Below are 22,169 nucleotides of genomic sequence, written 5' to 3'. Positions count from 1 at the left end.
TCTTAAATATTTGTCATCAAAACAATATGGGGTCTGGAATTTACTTCAAAACAATCCTAACAACTGGGAGAACTATATATTAATAGTTGTTGACTCTGGATCATTAATACACGAGGGTTCACTATACTAATCTAACATATGTTTGAATGCAAAGATTGGGTACTCCAAGTGAAGTAACTAATCCTTTCTGACCACCTGTCTGGTCACTGAAATCATTAAAGGCTGAAAACAACTAGTCACATAAAGAAGCATAGGGCGGCCGGGTGCAGTGGCTCGCGCCTGTAATCCCAGCACTTTGGGAGGCCAAGGCGGATGGATCACCTGAGGTCAGGAGTTCCAGACCAGCCTGGCCAACATGGCAAAAACCTGTCTCTACTAAAAATACAAAAATTAGCTGGGCCTGGTGGCGCACACCTGTAATCCCAGCTACTCGGGAGACTGAGGCAGGAGAATCACTTGAAACCCCGGGAGGCGGAGGTTGCAGTGAGCCAAGATCGCACTACTGCACTCCAGCCTGGGTGACAGAGTGAGAACCCATCTAAAAAAAAGAAAAAAAAAAAAAAAACAGCAGCACAGGGCGTTAGAAGCCCTCATGATCAATGTCAACTGGTGCATACAGCTTCACAGTGAGAAGGAGCTTCCAAGGGTAAAATCTGGGTGGGAAACAGTGATCAATTGTAAGAGACCCCTGTAGCTGTTGCTGATTACCAAGGAGAGAGTTTAGTAAAGGAAAAAGCCCTGGTCTGGAAGTTAGAAGACCGCCAACACCTAGTTTTGTAATCTCGGACTCATAACTTCTGTAGGTTTTGGAGCATAAAAGCACAGGAACTGAAATAAAAAATAACGACAATAATTTTGTTGTGGGTGCCCACTCTGCACTTCACAACATCCTAAGAGCTTTGGATACATTATCCTATTTACACCTCACAACCCAAGGAGGTGTTTTGCGCGCTTGATACATACTTTTTAAAGGACTACTGAATAAGTTAGGCGTCAGTATATGATACCAGTTTTCCCATGGGGTGAATGATTAAGGTGTTACAGAGGCCGAATATCTCGTTTAAGAGTGACTTGGTCTAGTCAATAGTCCAGGATTATTTAACAGGAAAGAATGCTTTGAGCACTCAATTGCATTGGACTGTATTGGAGAGAGGGCTAGGAGTTGGGTGGGAGACGCTGGAAAATTTAAAATCGTTTCCTTAGGCCTACAGTTTTCCGATCGCCTGCACCACGTTCTATCTACACATCACAGTCTCAGGAGAAGGATTTTCAGCCCTTCATTCAGCTCCAATCCTTTAGACCGCGATCTCTCCCGCGCCGGCTCCCAAACACTTCCACCCCCAATCTCCACCCCTTCTCCCTTGCGCACAACCTGTGGGCTTCAAACTACATCTCCCATAAAACCGCGGGGGCCCCCCTCCCGCCCCCCCCCCACCCCCGGATCTCCACCGGAAGTCGGGAAGACTGCATCCGGCTCCAGGAAAAGCGAGTGGGATATCCCAATCTTTGGACTGCATCCTGGTTGCCTCTACTGTGGTCACCTTTGGGTTAGTAGAAGCAGTGGGGAGTTAGTCGTCTCATTGCCTCCTCTGGGGGCGGTGACCACTTCCCTGGGCTCTTTGGTTCCCGCGCTGCCCTGCGTGGCCCTGCTGAGTTGTGTGGCGGAGCCTCGTAGTGGTTTGGTGGGCGCAGGCGCGGGAGCCACGGACGCATTTGCAGGGGCTCCCGCGACAGGGCGGAGGTGCGGCGGTACTGAGGTCGTAGAGTTTCCTGCCCAAGCTGAGATGGGGAAAAGGAAGCGCTACTTAGGGTGTGATTTCACCTCGAAAGAAGGAATCTCACAGTAGTGGCAAGAAAGTAAAATATCTTAAGGCATTTTACCATTTTCAGAGACCGTGCACGGGTGGCACTTAATTGGTCTTGAGTGCCCAGGGAGTGGATGAAATTCGTTAATTGATGGTCAGTGATTTCAGTGACAGAGCGATATTTAAGGTCCTGTCCTGTCCCATTCGGTCTGTGTGAGCATGCGGAAGTCATGGGCCCCGGGTTACATGTCAGTAAAAGTGGATGTTGGTTTGTTAAAAATTTATGTCCCTTTACATCTAATATTCTTTTAAATGATTTCTCGGAATAGTCCTTGAGCTTCTTGGAAAACAAGGGCAGCACTTTATTCTGCCTTCAAATCTTTACCTTCTATAACCTGTCAATGAGAATTGAAAAAGTAAATCAAACAGTAGAATTGGGTGTTAGACTTTATGTGCTTCTCTGGAATGAATAATGGTACTATTTCTAGATGGCTTTTCTGCTGAGAAAGCTAGAGGGAAAAGTGTACACTTTCCACTTCCCATCTCCACAGAATAGCATATGCATAAGCATTGCCCTGGAGGTAGTGAATGACGCTGTATTTTTGAAGGACAATTTTGCAGTTACCTGGCGCGGCCTGTGAGAATGTGAGGGAGTGACGGTGACCCCAGAACATGAGACAGTGAAATATTATTCAAACTAAACCTAGCTGAAAAAACTATAATATGGGTTTTTGGAAAATAAACTTAAGAGAAAGACAATTTGGAAGGGAGATCAGTACAGGAGCTGTACAGCAGTGCTTCAAAATAAAGTCCTGAAAATTTGTAGCTTTTGTTATGCATAGTATTTTTAACGTATGTAGAAATTTCAATATGAAAGGAACAGCGAAGTAAATTCTAGAATAAATCAAAAATTATTCTGTCATGTAGATATTACTTCTGGTAATTTAATTTCTAAACAGATTTCCACTGTTAGGTTTCATCCAAGTGTTTCCATGACTGTGAGCAGTTTTAACCTATTTATAAGTAGCAGAAAGACACAAATAGGAAAGGTGAACAGCTCCAAAATGAGACAATTAATCTTTACTCCTTGTTTTCCCTAAATTTTGTTCATACTATTCCTGCTATGCAATTCATCAGCCAGATCGCCCTTTCAGAACCCAGGAGACAGCAGCTATCAAAAACTATGGGCTATAACCTTTCTGTCTTTTTAGCTTAAAAATCTTATTGCTTAGAATGATAGAAATGTTGTTAGAATCCCAAATCTTTTCTTAATAGCATTTCATAGAAAGAAGAATTATACCTTAAAAAAAAATACTTTGAGAAGTTCACAGACAGTTGAATCATGAACCATTTTCACCATCCCCCGCCGCCAAAAAAAAAAAAAGACAAAAAAAGCTCAGTGTGTGCTCTATCATCTGCAGTCCATGATTAGGCAATATTTAAGAGGTATGGAACAATTATTTCAGGGTTTACCCCACCGAAACAAAAAGGTGACAAAGCAGATAAAGTTAATGAGTTTTAAAAGCTGCTCTGATTCAAGGACAACAAAGTGACCAACAGAACTGTCCAATAATAGAACCAAAAATATATGATCATCTGATTTGTGACAATATTTGTCTCAGTGTAGTAGGACAAAGATGGTAATTTCAAGAATAATACGGAGTAATATGGATTATGCATTGGGTAAAAAAGTATCTTGACCCCTACCTCATGCCATGAACAAAAATAGATCCTAGATGGATTACAGAATTAATTGTGCAAGGTCAAACAATAAACTGTTTTCCTGTGAAACTTATAAAGTCTCTGCCTTTACTTCCATCTGTTTTAATGCTCTCCCCCTCATGTCCCCACCCATCGTGAAGTCCCCTCTGGTCTACCCTAAATACCTCCTCCTTATGTAATATGTTACCTGGTTCCCCCTCCCAAGGATATGGCCCCCTCGTCTGTACTGTCAGAGCTCTTTATTCATTATTTTGTGTAACTCCCATGGGCATATAAATTGCGTTGCATTTTATAATTCTAAACTGATAACATTTTGAAATTGAAATGTATGCTGTTTAAGGATTGCCTGTTGAATAGTATGTTGCCTTGGAAACCATTGCTATTATTCTATTGCTATTTATCAATATTGTTCATTGATAAAAAAGCAGTTGCAAATAAGCTTTTTCCCCTGATTTTCCTTCTTTTAAGGAAGAAATGTCTTCTGTAAAAAGAAGTCTGAAGCAAGAAATAGTTACTCAGTTTCACTGTTCAGCTGCTGAAGGAGATATTGCCAAGTTAACAGGAATACTCAGTCATTCTCCATCTCTTCTCAATGAAACTTCTGAAAATGGCTGGACTGCTTTAATGTATGCGGCAAGGAATGGGCACCCAGAGATAGTCCAATTTCTGCTTGAGAAAGGGTAAACATTTTAGGCTGTACCACCTGAAAGGGTTTGTGGTTTAATTTCTTTGTTACATATTTACTTTAAAATTTTGCTTGTTTCCATATTTATATTGTTGAACTACTAAATAACTCATTGGCTAATTTATGTAAAAATGTAGCACAATTTTTCTAACTTAAAACTTTGTAACCTTTTTCATTGAGAAATTATTTCTTTATAGCAAAGCAAATTTATGAGGAGTCTAATTATAAATTTTCCTCCCAAATAGAAAATGCAGATCTCACTATGACTACCAAGGACTTCTTGTAGAATTTTGGTATCTCTTTATAGTGCATAAAGCTTAATACTGTTTTATTTTGTGAGTAATTATCCAGAAAGTGTAAGTATCCACTGTCTCTTAACTTTTTGTCATTTATGATTGTTCTTTTAACCTTCCCAATAGTAAACTATGTAACAAAAGAAAAAAAATCTATGTAATCATTAAAAAGAAGGACTTTAATATGTATCTGGAAATATTTTAGTGAAATAAATACGGAGAAAGTGTTTACTTCCTATTTTACTTTTTCTCCCCAATTTTTTCTTCCATCTATAGGTGTGACAGATCAATTGTCAATAAATCAAGGCAGACTGCACTGGACATTGCTGTATTTTGGGGTTATAAGCATATAGCTAATTTACTAGCTACTGCTAAAGGTGGGAAGAAGCCTTGGTTCCTAACGAATGAAGTGGAAGAATGTGAAAATTATTTTAGCAAAACACTACTGGACCGGAAAAGTGAAAAGAGAAATAATTCTGACTGGCTGCTAGCTAAAGAAAGCCATCCAGCCACAGTTTTTATTCTTTTCTCAGATTTAAATCCCTTGGTTACTCTAGGTGGCAATAAAGAAAGTTTCCAACAGCCAGAAGTTAGGCTTTGTCAGCTGAACTACACAGATATAAAGGATTATTTGGCCCAGCCTGAGAAGATCACCTTGATTTTTCTTGGAGTAGAACTTGAAATAAAAGACAAACTACTTAATTATGCTGGTGAAGTCCCGAGAGAGGAGGAAGATGGATTGGTTGCCTGGTTTGCTCTAGGTATAGATCCTATTGCTGCTGAAGAATTCAAGCAAAGACATGAAAATTGTTACTTTCTTCATCCTCCTATGCCAGCCCTTCTGCAATTGAAAGAAAAAGAAGCTGGTAAGAAATGAATGCTGCTTTTCATTGGTAAAATCTGGTTTTTAGACTTGAGTTGGAGTTGTATGTATTTGCACTTTCCAGGGGCACTCTTTTTCCAGTAAGCAGTGAAATTAGACTGTCTTCATCAGAAACTTCTTAAAGTTCTCACCCTAGGGGACTACTCTCCTGGGCAGTTAGTAGTTCTAATCAGCCCAGACTGATTTCCTGAGAATTAACCCTGGTGCATGATGATCTCATTTGATTCTTCATTGAATAATTCTTAGTTCCTGCTACACGTAGAACATGATGGCAAAGACTTTGACTGTTTTGTTTTGTATTCTGTTGATGGGGCTTTTTATGGCATGGTAAGAAATTGGGGTTTGATTCTAAAGCCATTTAAATGTAACCTAACCTGTGTTTAAAATATTTTTTTAAAAAAGACACTGCACACTGGCTGCATCATAGAGCATAAATTGTACACATGTAAGTAAGTAAGTGTGAAAGTTGGGAGTCTTGTTAAGAGGGAATTGAGTATTACAGGTGCCCAAGTAAGAGATTGCAATGGCTTGAGTTAGAATGGAGGCAGTGGAGATGGAGACAAAGGGAGAATCTGAGGTATTCTCGAGGTAGAAGGGATAGGGCTTGATCTGTAGGTTGAGACCCTTATAAGTGAGAGATGGTGGTAATATGGCATGAATTAAGGTACTGATAGTAGAAATGGAGGAAAGAGGGTATATGCAAGATAAAGTTTGGAGAGAAAATCACTGGTCTTTGCTATTGAATTGGATATGGGATATATAATAATGAAGGAAAAGATTAAGAATGACTGCTAGGCTAGAGACTTTAATAATTTGGTATATAGTGATACCATTTCTCAATAATATAGGATGATGGTTAGAGCAAGGAAAGCAGGACAGACTTGGATTAAAAAAATCAAGAGTTTACTTTTGGGCATACTAAGTTTTAGAAATGGACATTACAATCAGATGTCTGAACTGGAAATACCCATATGGCAGTCATCAACACACAGATACTTAAATCCCAAAAAACTACTGAGATTACTTGGAGAGTTGAGAGGAAGCAAGAAAAACTCAGAATAAGACCTGAATCCCCCTAAATTTAAAGGTAAGCTGCAAGCAGGAGAGCCATCAAAGGAGTTGGAAACAGTGTGGCCATGAGGTAGGAAGAGAGCAAGAGGCCTCAGGGAAACCAAGACAGCAGAGTATTTCCAGGAGGGAGTGGTCAAATGTATTGAATGCTGTTATGAACTTGAGTAAGATGAAGGCAAAGTGGTTTTTTTGTTTTGTTTTGTTTTTTAAAGCATCTTTGTCTTTGGTAATATGAAGCTATTGATGAACTTGACAAGAGAAACGTCAGTGGAGTGAAACGAACAGAAACCAGATTATGGTAGACTGATGAGTTACTGGGAAGTTAGGAATAGGTCACTTGTCAGTGACCACCTTCCCTTAGGTGATAGAGGTCCTTCCAGAGACTGCTTAAATATCTCCTCCTCAAAGTCTGGTGTGGTATGTTTTATTCTCCACACCTGTGGAGAAATCATCAAACTTTTTTAAGAAAATTTATTTTCTTTAGACATATATATATATATATATATATATCATTTTAAGATCAAAAAGATCTGATAAATGAGCTAGTTGCTTGCTTTTTTCCCTTGTAGGAAAACTGAGGCCTTTTAACTCACTTGCTCTATAAGTTTACACAGTTACTTAACTTTTCTGTGACTCAGTTTACTCCTAAAGAAAATGATAATAATAGTATCTATCTTCTTTAGGGTTGCTCTAAACATTAAATAATCTATATAAAATTCCTTGCATGGTGCTTGGCACATTGTAAGTACTCAATAAATGTTAGCTTTTCTTATTGTGATGATTCTGAAATAATGTAAATACCCTAGTGTAAGTTACATATTACAAGGTTACGTAGCAGGCAAAAACGTAATGTTGTCTATTCATTACAACTGTTTTATTTATTTTTCCCAGTTTAAACGATGTTAGAATTTTTGTTATTATTTTGTTCATTTCAAAAATCTGTAGACCAAATAATCTATTTTAGGGAGGGTAACTTTGTCAAGCATTTAACATATAGCATTTCTAGTCTTATTGCCTCAACTGTAATATTTCTGGCCAGGCCATATTAACTTTTTTTGAACTACCAGAGTAAAACCTATAGCTAAAGTGTATATATTTTAAGATTTATCCTATTAGGCATTTTTTGGTAAACAAAGTTAACCATGAATGTAGTAAATGCAGTGTGTTTTATACTGTGTACATGCAGTCTCCAGTTGAAAACAGGTTGTGTTCCACATGGCTTGGACCATCAATGGCATAGTCACCAAGAGAGTGGTGATAGCCTCCTACAGTTTCCTAGTAATATTTCCTTTAGAGTACAAATCTCACTTAAGAACTGACTTTGTGGTATATTTTTATTAAAATCACTATTGTAAAATCACTGTTTGTAAACTTACTCTACACTAGAATCATGAATACCCCAAATTTTAAAATCACCTACAGTAAAAGCCTGATCTAATATAGGATGTAAGATAGATGTCAGTATGTCTATCTTATATGAAAGTTATATTTTATTCAAACAAAAAAATCTAATTTTTGTAATCCAGAAAATTAAATCTTTTACTTTAAAAGAAGAATACGCATTATAAAAATAGAAATACTAAAACCCCTGATCACACAGCTATTCTTATTGTAGCTTGAGAACATTTTACTTATATATTGATTTTAATTTCTTACAGAATTAAAATTTTTGTGCTTTTCTTTTTTTTGAAGGGGTTGTAGCTCAAGCAAGATCTGTTCTTGCCTGGCACAGTCGATACAAGTTTTGCCCAACCTGTGGAAATGCAACTAAAATTGAAGAAGGTGGCTATAAGAGATTATGTTTAAAAGAAGACTGTCCTAGTCTCAATGGCGTCCATAATACCTCATACCCAAGAGTTGGTAAGCCCTTTATTTTATATCTCAGCCACCTGGATCTTGGGGAATAAGATATTTTGGAAAGAGAAAATTTGTGAGGAGCTAAAGAGTTTTCCTTTTTATGGAAAACATGTCTAACCATTAAGAATGTGTTAAAGTGTTACACACTTTCATGATTTTTAAGTAAAAAACATGGTACATCAATAGCCATTTCTTAACTTTGGGTTACTCACTATAATTTGATATGTTATGATACATGATTTCAAAAGCCAACCAATTTGGCTCTACTTAGTGGAGAAAAAGCCCCACTAAGTACAATTTATTGCCTGTTTGAGGCATTACTAAAGCAGTACAGCCTGGCCCTAGCTTTTCATTACTGTTAATGTCTGCCTGTATTCTCTCTTCTAATTGCTGCCTTGAGTCTGCTGTAGATTTGGAAATCTGGTAACCCAGACCTTTAAAACTGTGTGAAAGAAGAATAGATAGGCTCAGCAACACCTGAGGAGGCCTCTGGGGAGAAAAATACATGGCTTAGTGACATCTATTTTTGTTGCTCAAGAGCCTTTTACATTTAATTCCTAGTTCTTGGTCATGATATAGTGAGAAGAATTTGCTGAATTAGTAACTTCTAGAGAGATGAACTGTTATTTAAATTTTATTTAATGACTTTAATCATAGAATCACATTAGCTTTTAAAAACATTTTGTTAAGGGTTAGGATGGAAGAGGGAAATTAACTATTTACCGTGGTAAAATTTGAATTTTCCTTATTTCCATGTATTACCTACTCAAATTTTTTTCTCATTAAAAAGTAATAATACACCTAACATCCATAAGTACAGAATAAATGTTGCTGTTAAGATTGGGGGAAGAAGGACAAAAATGGTCTTCCTTTAGCTTACTGACACTATTCTATACAATTTCCCTGAGATATTCTATTATCAGCTACATTAGGGCAGAAAGAAGCAATCTCTTACAACCAGACAAGAGTTCTATCCCTATAGGAGATATACCTTTATATTATCCTATCAGACAGTGTTTGTACAATGAATCTAAATTCGTTTTTCCTGCCATTCATGTATCTGATTTTTTTTTTCAACAGATCCAGTAGTAATCATGCAAGTTATTCATCCAGATGGGACCAAATGCCTTTTAGGCAGGCAGAAAAGATTTCCCCCAGGCATGTTTACTTGCCTTGCTGGATTTATTGAGCCTGGTAAGCCATTTCTTAATAATTTATATTTAATTTATAATTTTAAAATACAAAGTTTAGGTAACATTTGAGAAATAATCTCTGATAAATTATCATGTTATAAAACTCGGTTATTTTAAGGTATTTTAAAAATGATACAATTTTAATAATATAAACATGTAATTCTCATGTTTTATATGAGAATTATATAAATTACTTTTCCTAGTAATTTGGTCTGCTTTGTTAAAAATTCAGTATTTGCTCTTTGATATGTTGCTCTTGACCCAGGTATCTAGGTTCCACCTCATTTCCTTCTGTACTAGACTCAACTGTTACCTTTTCAAAGAGGCCTTGCTTGATTGCCCCAGATACATTAGTTAGCCCCCATACCCTGCATTCACAATCCCTATCATCCTTCCTGATTTTTCCCTATGGCACTCATCATCACCTAATACCGTATGTAAGTATGTATATATGTACTTACTAATTTATTATCTTATGTTTCAAGAATATAAGTTTCATAAGCACAGGGACTTTATTTTATCCACTGCTGTATCTGAAACCCTCATAGCACATGCCTGTAGCACATGTAGTAGAAAGTCAGTAAATGTTTGTGGAGTGAATGAATACATCTAATTAATATGTTTTATCTCAATTTCAATTTCCAATATTTGCATTGCTAGATAATAACAGTAAACATATAGTATCAGGCTGTGTTTTGGAGGAGGATCATATCATATATATAAAACAGTATCAGGCTATGCTTTATATATATTTTTTGTATGATCCTTATACAACCTTATAAAATACACTATTACAGTGATTTTGCAGGTAGGGGCACTAAGGCATAGGGACTAAATAATTTGCTCAAGATCAAACAGCTAATAAGTGATAAGGAAGGGATTTAAGCCTGGGCATGTTGGTTTCTGAGTTCTTGCTCCAAATCACTATGCTGTCTTTAGTAGTTCTAGGTCATTGTCTTAACTGCTGGGTAGTAATCCATTCATGGATATTCCACTATTTATCCATTCTGCTGATTGGACATTTAGTTTATTTTAAAGTTCTTATTACAAACAGCACTGCAATTAATATTTTTATACTTCTCCTTGTGCACATTTGCAAGAGTTATCTAGGTTATATACATAGAGTAGTACGACCAGCTCATGTGTTATGAGCATCTTAACCTTTTCTGTATGTTGCCAAGTTGTCTCTGAAGTGTTTCTGCCAATTTACACTTCCTCCAGCAGAACATGAAATGTTCCATTATTCCACATCTTCACCAAGTTAGGATTTTCAGACTTTTAAATTTGTCATTCTGAGGAGTGAATGAAATCGTATCTCGTTTTCATTTTCATTTTCTTGCCTATGGAACATCTTTTTTCAAATGTGTATTAGGCATTCAGTTTTCTTTTCTCTGAATTTTAGATGTTTATCTTTTACCTAGTTTTGTTTTCATTGTTTATCCTTTTTTATTCATTTTAAGAATTCTTAAATATGTAGCATATGCTAATCTTTTGTTAGTTATGGTTTTGCAAATACCTTACACTAGTCTATAATTATATTTTTACTATATGTGTTCTTTTGATTATTATAAGTTAATTTTCATGTAGGAAATTTATCAATCTATTTGAAATAGAAAGCTATATTTAAAATATATTTTGCTAAATACAGCAATATTTAGCAAAATGTTTCTAAACTTCCAGATTTTACTTAGAAATGATTTTACTTAGAAACAATTTCCCCTATTCTAATTCTTAATTCCAACAAATTAGAAATATAAAGTACATTTATAGGCATCACTTACCATAGCAGAGTCAGCAGTCATCTAGAGGAAAATAATTGCTTAGAAAAAGTATTAAATTTCATCTTATGTAGTTTGTAATCTTGTAATGACCTGAAAAGAGTTACCTGCAATAATTGTTTGACAACATAATAAAAAAAAGTTTCAGAATTTTAGTGTGAAAGAGCTATTTGTAAAAATCATGTAATTTATAACTATTTCGTGGACAATATATACATGAGATAAGATATAAAGTGTTTGCATAGTGTTTAACCAGTATTAGGTATTGGATATTTTTAGATGGTATCATTATTTTTAAAATGTAACTGACAAATTTGTACCTTAAAAAAACGAAAAGTTTATTGTTGGCATTTTGATATTCTATATGTGGTCATGTACTTTAAAAAAATTGTTTTCTTCAATTACAGTCTAGTTTTAGGCTTCTGCTTTCTGATTATTTGCATTGGGTTTCTGTCCAAAGTGATTTCCAGATGTTTGAACCATTCAGGACACAAAGTGTCCCGGGCATGTTCATCAGCAACTTGTTCTTTTGCTCCATTTCATTAGGAGAGACAATAGAAGATGCTGTTAGGAGAGAAGTAGAAGAGGAAAGTGGAGTCAAAGTTGGCCATGTTCAGTATGTTGCTTGTCAACCATGGCCAATGCCTTCCTCCTTAATGATTGGTTGCTTAGCTCTAGCAGTGTCTACAGAAATTAAAGTTGACAAGAATGAAATAGAGGATGCCCGCTGGTTCACTAGAGAACAGGTAAAGTTCAATTTAATTTCCTTCTTCTATTGATTGTTCCCTGACTGTATTGGTTTGGTCACAGAGCAAGGATGCATATTTTCAGCAAGTTGAATGATGCCTTTGGCCCTCTCATTATGCATGGATTACATGGTAATTAGTAATTCCATACAGGAGGAGTATGTTTCACTAATGTGATCTATATTAACTTATTCTATGAGATTTTTCTAGTAGAGATGATTCTGTACCATTTCGAGTTTCAGATTCCATTCCTTCACATAAATAATAATACCTATCAGTGGGTTTAGAAAAACATTAATTCATAGATGAGAAACAGGAATATTCTTATACATTTTATATTTTAGTTTATAACATTAAAACAAGTAGCTCTCAAAAAACATCAGTAAGTGCTTAAAATTTTCAGAAAGTTTTTATTCATTTTAAAATGTACTTAAGGACAAGAATGACATAACTGTATAATAAACATACACTTAAAATAACTTTCTAAAATGTCATTCCTAAATAATATATTAAAAGATAAATTACTCATCTGACCTGAAATTCTTTCTGACTTTGCCTGCATAAAATTAATTTTATTCTATGCTTAATCCTAAAAGATGGAAATTAGATTATTGCTTATGAATTTTATAAAAAAGAATCTGTTTCAAAAGTTGGCTTTGCTTAGAAATTAAGTGTGGAGCGTACATTTTGCTTTTTCGTGATGTCATTTTCATAAGGGAATGTGTCTTTCTGGAACATTTTAGAAACTGAATCACTTACTCAGTGAAGCAATTAAAAATGCTGTCCTAAATTTTGCATGTTGAGGCGGGGCGTGGTGGCTTATACCTGTAATCCCAGAACTTTGGAAGGCCAAGGCAGGAAGCTTGATTGAGCCCAGGAGTTTGAGACTAGCCTGGGCAACATAGGGAGACCCTGTCTCTACAGATAATTTTTAAAAAGTTAGCCAGGTGCACCTATGGTACCAGCTACTTGGGAGGCTGTGGCAGGAGGATCGCCTGAGCCCAGGAAGTCAAAGCTGCAATGAGCCATGATCCCACCACTGCAACTCCAGTCTGGGTGGCAGAGTGCAAGACCTTGTTTCCAAAAAAAAAAAAACTTTGCATGTAAATATGGATGTTGTCACTTTCTACTGTTGTTATTCACTGTAAAACTCATCACATTTTAATTGAATTATGTAAACATGGGAATAGTATTTAAATATGACAGCTTTGAAATCCTAATGCATTCTATTATGGTGTGTTTTAGGTCCTGGATGTTCTGACCAAAGGGAAGCAGCAGGCATTCTTTGTGCCACCAAGCCGAGCTATTGCACATCAATTAATCAAACACTGGATTAGAATAAATCCTAATCTCTAAATCTAAGAACTAAGCTTTGAGTATTATTTAATAATTTCTAATAACACTCATTCCTCAAGTGATATTAGAGATTATTCAGTACTCTTGAGAGTGTCACAACACAAAATACGATGTTGGGTTTTCGAAATATTTTCAAAGTGTTCTGTCTTAATCACAAATTCATATTTTTACACATTTTTACAATATTGCCTCAGATTATGTTAAATTTGGGTCAGTCTTCTCTGAACTTTTTCTCTCTTGGTTTCTTTTCTTCCTTCACAGTTTTATCTCACAAAACCATTTTTCTAATAAGAGACATCATGTTGGAAAGATGTTCTAGAAATGTGCATAAATTTCAGTGCCTCTTGTAAGCATTAAACTGATGATGAAGAAAGTTCCTGATTTGAGAAATGAATCAAAGTAATTTTAATGAATTTTTAGCTTGTATTAGCTTGAGTTAGCTGGCATTGATTTTTTAGTCCTTTTGTTACCTTTAAGTTGTCAATATATGGTTTTTGTTCATCTCCCCATTGTAGTCCCACTTGCTCTTTCCTGGGGGTTCCATTGTTCTAGCAGTGGAGGTGTTATAGTGTCGCCACTCGTCTAATTTGACCAGTGTTAAGAATTTTCTAATTTAATAATTTAATAGTGATCTCAATACCACACCCTCATGGAAGGAGAAAAGCATACTATTATATCTGGGACCTCTCTTTTAGACCTAAAATTAATTAACATATCTACTTATATGTTACTTATACCTAAAGCTGTTATTAAGACAAACCAAGATTCTCTGCTTTTGCACTGAAATTAAACTTGAAAGGAATTCTCCTCAAAGGTCGGATATTAAATAAGTCCCAGGCAGATTTACATATTTAATTTAAAACATTGGCTTTATTTCATTTTGTGATGAGTGATGTATCTGTGTTAACAAAAAATTGTATAATCATTACCAATACTATTTATTATGCTCAAATATATCTTGGCTTTGACCTTATTTCAACACATTCTAAGAAGCCTTGACAAAGTAAGTATATTTTAGAGCTGAATCAGTAAGATTCTAGAGAAAGCAAAACATAGTAGTTCACAATTTTGCAACATAGAAAGTCACATTTTGAAAGGCTATTTTGAAATTGATTTAATAGCTATTATAGTTTATGAATATCAAAATTTGTATAATTTGCATCTTTACTAATGTATGCTAGAGCTACAAGAGACCTTAAGGATAATATATGAAATTAGCTTTCCTTATTTTATAGATAAGGAAAAAGAAATTGTGAAAGGTGAATTTACCTAATTAGTGAAAGTTACATAACTAATTACAACAGTCTGTACTATATAATGCAGAGGACGATTCTCCCTGTAAAAGGAACTAGAAGCTATTACTAAAAATATATATAGACAAAATTAAAAGAAGGAATGATAAGAATAAATTTAATTTACCAAATATTGTTAATTAAAATTTTAGATACTTAACATTTATTTAACTTAAATAAAAGATAACTGTCAGATAAAACTTTATTTTACTAATGAGCAGTGATTTTCTTAGGAATTGATGAAGGCTTATTGGTATCAAGAATTTAAACCAAATTAAAACTGACAGAGGACATTTAGATACATAATAAAATTCGAGCTACATAAGTATATGGAAAATAATGTACCTTGATTATTATGAAATAGAGCATCTTGAAATTCAGTTTTACTCTAAATGTACTTTTAATACTTGCAGATTCTAAGATTACATTGTAAAATTCCAGGTTTTCATAATGTTAAAATAGGAAAGTAGAATATAAAGTATCAACAAGTGTAGTTATACATTTTGTTTTGGATATTTAATCCTTACTTGGGAAAAAATCAGCATCTAGGTAAATTATTATTTTAATAACAACTCTTAAATTGCCAACCTCTGAGAGGTGAAAAGCTATGTAAATAGAAGGAATGGCCAGTTCAAAAGAATAGTAGATGTGATAGTGCCGTGAATGTATTCTACTGGAAATGAATGTAATAATACATTAAATTTTTAAAATCTATTTTGTTTTGTGTGTGTGTTTAACATGTTTTGACAAGTGTCCTGAAAAATGAGAAAAGCTGGATTTCAGTCGTTAACCTGTTTCGAATTGATAATGTACAAGAAATGCAAAAGCCTTTTTAAAAGTGTCTGTGTTTGGGAGACTTAAAACTTTGATTTGAATCTTAAAGTATAGTTTGGGGTCAAATACAAACAGACTTACATATATACATACATATATAAAGTCAATAATTTTTGTTCTTCAGGTTTAAAGCGATATATCTAATTTTTATTACTTGTCTAATACTGCTAATTGTTGGATTTTGATATTTTCACATGTTGATGGAACATGAAGAGTTAGAAGCCCACATATTTTATTTAGTTGGAAAAATGAGAAATTCTTTTAAAGACCCAGTTAGGGATTTGGCTGAAGACAGAAAATAATAGGATAACAAAGGGAGAGACCAAGATGGAAGGAGGAAGAATAAGTTTGTTAATAAGCCAAATTAATCCCACATAACAACAATAGATAGCTGGTCCTGGAACTGTGTTGCTAATGTGGATACAACAAAATATTAGGTGAAGATGTTCTATAAAACAAATCCATTAATTATTTAGAGTAAAATTTTCACAGTGAAAATTTTATTAGGGCTGAGACCCAGTTATTAGGTTCTGGGGGGGGGGAGGGAGGGGGAGAAAGAGAGAGAGAGAGAGATGGGTGGTGGGTATTGAGTGAAATTTGTGTATTTGTTGAGGTTAAAAGGGGCTGTTATCTCTATTAGAAAAAAAAATATGTAGGACAAAATAAATCCAATGTGCAAAATTAGGAGTCTCTATCTTCAAATATATAAGATCTAGGTCCTGAGGCAAAGCAAGAGTAGTTGCCAAGAGGTTGGAAAAGGCAGGGAAGTTTGATATTCTGTGCAGATCGGGGAGGGTGCTTGATAAAGTGGGGGCAGATGCTTGAGAGCTTTAAGCCCACAGGAGCAGATAAGACAGGCTGTATTTTGGGGCAGGGGTAATAATGTTGCCAAGTACCTGCATCTTCAAAATGAGTCATTGATTAGAGGAATTACTTGTGAACATAAACTAAATACTAAAAAAATATTTTTTTCCTACACTATACCCTACCATCCTTCCAGGACAATCAGGATAGAATTCAAAAGAATTTCTGAAAGAGGGAGTGAATTTTATTATATATGATAGATTTTCAAATAATTCCATTTATTTGCCCAAAACTAGAAATGGTCAAAAGGAAGGTCATTTAAAAAATAAGGATGGCATAGGGAAGACAGGTAATCAGCAACCTGAATTCTTGTTTGAGAAAATAATGAATTTTCAACTATAGGATGAATATTTGGGCATGTTAATTGGCCTAAGAGGCAAATTACTCATTCTATTTTTACTGAAGGATATCCATATATATAGTTGTATTCATTGATGGAAGTGACACTTTTAACTTTATTTCTTCAAGACTACTCCTTTTTTTTTTTCTTGCTAAGCAGTCAAAGCCATAGCACCAGACAACAAATACTCCTCCTTTTTGCAACTCCTGGCATAGTGATAACTCTGCAGAATAGTGGGTCAGATGTGAAATTTTAAACAGATTTTAAGTTGGGGAGGGGGGGAAACTTTCTCCTAATGGAAATATTTTTCTTTCTAACTAGAAGTCTGATAAGAGACAGACAAACTCAGCATAAAGAATGAAAAAATGCCCTGACTTTCCATTCCTGGCCCATGGGAACTATACCAGACAAACTCTTTGCTTCACCTGTGGAGGATTAAGAACATTCTTCTAACCACTTAACTTGTGAGGAGGTTTTATTTTTAGTCATGTGGAAGTTCCACCCAGCAGTAGAAATTGAAAATGGTACTCTTGTTTATTTTAGAACAGAGTAAGTGGACAGCTGATCCAGTCTGAAGTTTTATTTTTGTTTACTTTTATCCTGCCCATTTCACTCTAGCCTGAAATCGTCTGTTGGAGCAGTGTGATGTTCCGAATGTCTCAGTAGAGTACTTTATAAATATTTGTTACTACTCTCAGGTAGCAGTGAGCTGAAGTCATCTCTATCAGTGGGGGTAACGATTTAAAATGCCATTTATGCAACAGCTTTACTGCTAAGAGTTATTTTGCTTTTTTGTTAGGTTTACTTGTGTTTATGGAACAAATTTGAGTAGTACCAAGCAGTTTGGAGAATTTGGAACTAGAACTCCAAAGAAAAGATGCTCAAGGATGTGTGCAAATTCAAACCTAAGGTGCTTTGTTGGTCCCAACCATCATCCCTTCTCTGTATCATACTGAGAGCTTCCATGGGAGTGTATCCGCAGGTGGGAAGCCACTTGGAACTCTGTGTGTTCTGGGGTAACAGGAGAAAATATGCATGTATCTGTGTGGACCTCAAAGTTTTCATGGCTGTAGAAATGTCTAATAATTATTATTTCCAAAAAACACCATCTTTTTCTACAAATTACTAGGCTTGCCATACCAATCTTTTTTTTTAGTTCCCAGCCACTTCCTACATCCTCATGAAAAATAAACACATTTTTCATTCTATTATAATGGTAAATTTATCATATAAAGAGTTTTGTTTTATACAGTGAAAATAGTACATACATTCTCCTTGTTCAGTATATCTAACATCAGTACTAATGTAATTTTTGCAAACTTAGACTTCTGGACATTATAAAAGTTATTTTTTACCTGTTGTTTACAATATATTTCTAAGAATTACAGATCTCTATTTACAACAAGCTTTTAAGGAAGCATAACTGTTTAGCTTATTCTCATAATACTAGTAATTTTTACACATGACTCTATATATAGAAGGTTGACAGTTATTTTATCCTTAACCCCATAAAATGAATATTAGTATTATTATTCCCATTTTACAGTTGGCTAAGATGGGGTAACTTCCAAAGTCATGGTGTTAATAGGACAGCCAAAGCTTAAGCCCAAATACTTTACTCCAGATCCTTTCCTTTCTTACCAGAGCTATCTTAAAGACGTTTTCTAATAACTGCATTGACAAAAGCACTTCCAGTCTCAGTTTCCTTCTTTAGTCTCCTAAATTTTGCTTATTTTTCAGGTTGAGTCTTCTCTTGTTACTCTACACATTTCTGCAGGACATTCTTTGGATCCCACATTTCTCTGTCCAACTGTCCAACACACCTGCTTAGATGTCCCAGAGCCTCCCAAATACTGCATGTCTAAAATTAAATTATCTTTCCCCAAGCATCTTCCTGATTCTATATTCCTGTATTATTATAATATTGCCTAACATGGAAGTTTGGGCACTGTTTTAATTTGTCTGCTTTATCCCTTACCCCACTCTACTCCTCAGCCAAACAATCTCTTAAATCCTGTCTTCTTAATGTCTTAATACTTCTTGAATCTTGATATCTCCCTCTCTTTCCCTCTCCATCTTCTGTCTCTCCCTCTGCCACCATCCTACTTAAGATCATTCATCTGGTTTCTGCATCAGCCTCCTACACTGGTCTCCCTACTTTCCAGTTTCACTCCCAATCAGTTCTTCACACTGCAGCCAAGGAGATCTTGCTAAGGAACAATGTCATCTAGTCTTTGCCTTACTTAAAACTCTTCAAAATAATGCCCCTCACTGTCCTTGGACAAAGGAAAAGTCTAATTTCCTTAGCATGGCAATTTACCTCTTCCATTTCAACTTTCATCATTTTCCTTTCCTTCAACCTCTTACTATACTATGACTTATGTTCTTGCAGAGCCATAGACAAGCCTAAATTTTTGTTATGCATTAACATTCATTTAGGACCACCTGAGTAATTATGGCTAATTCCATATGTTACTAGTATAAATAGAAATAATTTTTCATTTATTTAATATTCTAAACTGTACTTCTAAACTATATTTTCATTTACATATCTCATGGGATTAAAAAACTTCTATATCAGGAACTATAATACTTATCCCAGTTTTACAAATGAGCGCACTGAATCTAAGAGAAGTCAAGTCAGTTTCCCAAGGTAAACATGGGATATGGAAACCGACTGAAATTTAAGTCTTCTGAATCAAAGTCTGTTACCTCTACCATACTATATGCCATACTGCTTCTGCCCCAGTCTACTACACAAACGTAAATGAATTACCTAATATTTAGCCCAACCCATGTGAAAAGCTGAACTAGATCATCTAAGTTTTTGTTTCTGTTTGGCTTGCCTCTATTTCATCTGCACCGTGTGAACGTCATAGGTGTGTTTAATAAATACCACTATCAAAATTCTGAAGCCACAAAAGCACACAGTGCATCATTGTTTACTAAAAGTATATTTGAATATAAACAGACTGTTAGGAATGGTTAGGACAGATAATAGACTCGTTAAAGGATGGGTGATCATGCCTGATGCTGCTTAAGATTAAATATGCTAATCAGATTTTGGATTTAGAGAACCCAGATAAATCCAAAGTAGAGCAAGAAAAGGTACTCAAATCTTCAGCTTCTTCCTTTTCGAAAATACATACTGCATTTTATCCATGTCTCCTTCAGAACTGAGCAATTTATGAAGGCTTTACCCAGGTGAGCTGATTATACATGCTTTTTTCTTCCTTTTTGAATGCCATATTCTCTATTTCAATCCTTGCCATTCTAAATTAGTTCCTTGGCAAAGGATAATAGCAAAGGGAATATTATTTGAATGTTATATGTGAAGACAATTTAATAACATTTCTTTCCTGTCACAAAATATCCAACAGCTGTTTGTAACTTACTTTGTTACCAAATTGAGAGAATGGATACATCCAAAGAAAATTCTAAATAATCAATGTGTTTAGGCCTCTTTTATTTATGCTAAGAAAGACATCATGTGCACATTTGAATAAGCACCATCCATATCCTAATTTGGTTACTTCAAGTAAATTGCACATTTGGAAAGCAAGGAAAATGCAACTGACAAGCTAGGCTTCTAAACATAATTGAAATTCATTCTGAATGCAGGAAGGGTCAGTTTCATTTCAAAGCAGTAGACCTTGTTTTGAATTCCTATATTCTGCTTTGTATCCATTGCAGCATTAGATTTGTTAATCACCAAAATGATTTTTTCATCTGGTTAAGTTAGTAGAATTTTCTTCATTAATTTTATACTTAATTTTACTTAAATAAATGTTTATATTTAATTGTTTTTATATTAATTACTTAAAACATTTTGATCTGATTTCATGAAAGAAGACATTTAGGACGTTGAAATTTTTTCTATTACAATTGCAGTTACTCTGTGATTTAGAACAATTTCATAGGCAAAATATTCTGGCCAACATCTTTTTGTAAATAATCCCAAATCAAACTGCAAAACAGCCTATTTACAATCTTGCTGTTACTTAATCTTTACATCTGGTTATTTCAAACAAATTGTGCATTTGGAAAGCAAGATTTTTTCAGTGACCACTTACTATGATTTTTATGGAAATTAATACTTGCTATGAAAGACTCTTTTCACCATTAAGAATTCAGCCAGCTCCTTTTACCTTCTCCGTGCTCACTCAGAATTTAAATATTAGATATTTTTAAATCTCCTTTTCCTCTCGGATAATTTAAATTTTAGCTCGTTTATCTAATGTCAGATTAAAATGATGTTAAATAAGTATTCCTAAATTATATGTTTGGAAAATAAATTGAAAAATAAACCTTTATTATCTATATTTGTTTTAAGATATAATTCTCTTAGTTGCTAGCAACTGACCATTTAATTATATGTAAAGTCATCTAACTTCTTAAATAAATCTGTACTAATCATGTGATGAAATTACAATTAGGATGCTTATAAGATAGTCTTGGTATCTTCTCTCTAGGGGAAAAAAATCATCCACTGACCAAGTTTTCAAAAAGATCTTTAAAATGACACCAGGAATTTCACTGTGTTGTTTCAGATCTTCAACTCTTACTAGATGTGACGACACTTTCGTGGTCCCGGATTATTTTTACAAAAAGTAGAATAAAAATTCTGAATGTTATCTGATTTGTGAAGATGTACACACACTACCCAAAATCCACTGATAACTTATTCTGATCCCATGAGACTGTAGAGACCTCAGTGAATTTGAGATGGAATGGGATGTTAGCACTGATTATCTGCCCAATTTAAAACCAGTCATAAAGTGATTAAATTAACCTGACAGATTAATTCTAAGCATAATTTCTCATTCCCTCATCATTGGCCAGACTGCAGTTTACATACTTTTTTTATGACAGTGGGCAAAAATACAGCACAGTCAGTGACTTAAGCTATATAAAAAGAAGGTCAGCAGGAAATAGTAAGCATAGAACATTTTTAAATAAATGCCTTTTTATTGCTTTCAAAAACATGCATTTGTTTGGATTAAGCTACAGAAATGTATTTACTTAAGTGAATAAGTAAGCATAGAAAATGTTTTAAAATGGTGATTCTAAGATTGGAGATTTCTCCTCTAAATCTTTCGATTAAAGCCCCTTTGAAGCCTTTGTATCTTGTTTGCATTAATATTCTTATCAAATTATTTTTCTGAGGTAACACAGTAATTTCAGAGTAATTCAAGTTACCTTGATTTATGAACAAATAATGAGATTTAGCACTGTCCAAAGTGCCCTAAATATTGCTAACGATAATTGGCTCTTAATAATGGATAACATTGCCACTAAAATATTTTAAAGGTCATATTTATTATTTTCTTCTGAATGACTTGAAGTAGAATGAACATGCAGCCATTTCTTAGGCTACCATGAGCAAAGCACAATTTTGCTTAGGGATAAGATATATTTTGAGTGTTTATTTTAAATATTTACTTGAGATT

The 22,169-nt window shown here is 34.7% G+C and overlaps 1 protein-coding gene across 4 annotated transcripts, besides 2 other annotated features; it reads left to right on the top strand.

Annotated features, from left to right (window-relative positions):
- Window positions 1,158-1,688: an enhancer, noted in NCBI's record as "H3K27ac hESC enhancer chr5:102898263-102898793 (GRCh37/hg19 assembly coordinates)". NCBI's record gives its function as "activates a minimal SCP1, AML or CMV promoter by ChIP-STARR-seq in primed H9 embryonic stem cells {active_cell/tissue: H9 hESC(primed)}" and the evidence as "EXISTENCE:reporter gene assay evidence [ECO:0000049][PMID:30033119]".
- On the top strand, window positions 1,461-15,395 carry NUDT12 (nudix hydrolase 12). 4 transcript variants are annotated; one of them, XM_005272097.4, is made up of 7 exons: window positions 1,461-1,547; window positions 4,000-4,153; window positions 4,782-5,371; window positions 8,152-8,319; window positions 9,397-9,510; window positions 11,834-12,033; window positions 13,279-15,395. In XM_005272097.4, exons 2-7 carry the CDS (start codon window positions 4,002-4,004, stop codon window positions 13,387-13,389), a joined length of 1,335 nt encoding a protein of 444 aa, XP_005272154.1. In that variant the 5' UTR covers window positions 1,461-1,547; window positions 4,000-4,001; the 3' UTR covers window positions 13,390-15,395. The 4 variants fall into 4 exon arrangements, with proteins under 4 accessions (XP_005272154.1, XP_005272152.1, NP_001287670.1 ...); XM_005272095.2 differs by having other exon boundaries at window positions 4,000-4,207; NM_001300741.2 differs by having other exon boundaries at window positions 3,996-4,153.
- Window positions 1,689-2,221: an enhancer, noted in NCBI's record as "H3K27ac hESC enhancer chr5:102897730-102898262 (GRCh37/hg19 assembly coordinates)". NCBI's record gives its function as "activates a minimal SCP1, AML or CMV promoter by ChIP-STARR-seq in primed H9 embryonic stem cells {active_cell/tissue: H9 hESC(primed)}" and the evidence as "EXISTENCE:reporter gene assay evidence [ECO:0000049][PMID:30033119]".
- Window positions 15,396-22,169: the final 6,774 nt, after the last annotated feature.

Source organism: Homo sapiens, chromosome 5 (assembly GCF_000001405.40).
Source record: "Homo sapiens chromosome 5, GRCh38.p14 Primary Assembly".
NCBI classification, from domain to species: Eukaryota; Metazoa; Chordata; class Mammalia; order Primates; family Hominidae; genus Homo; species Homo sapiens.
The sequence above is the reverse complement of the archived record's forward strand: the minus strand, read 5'-3'. Positions and strand labels throughout refer to the sequence as shown.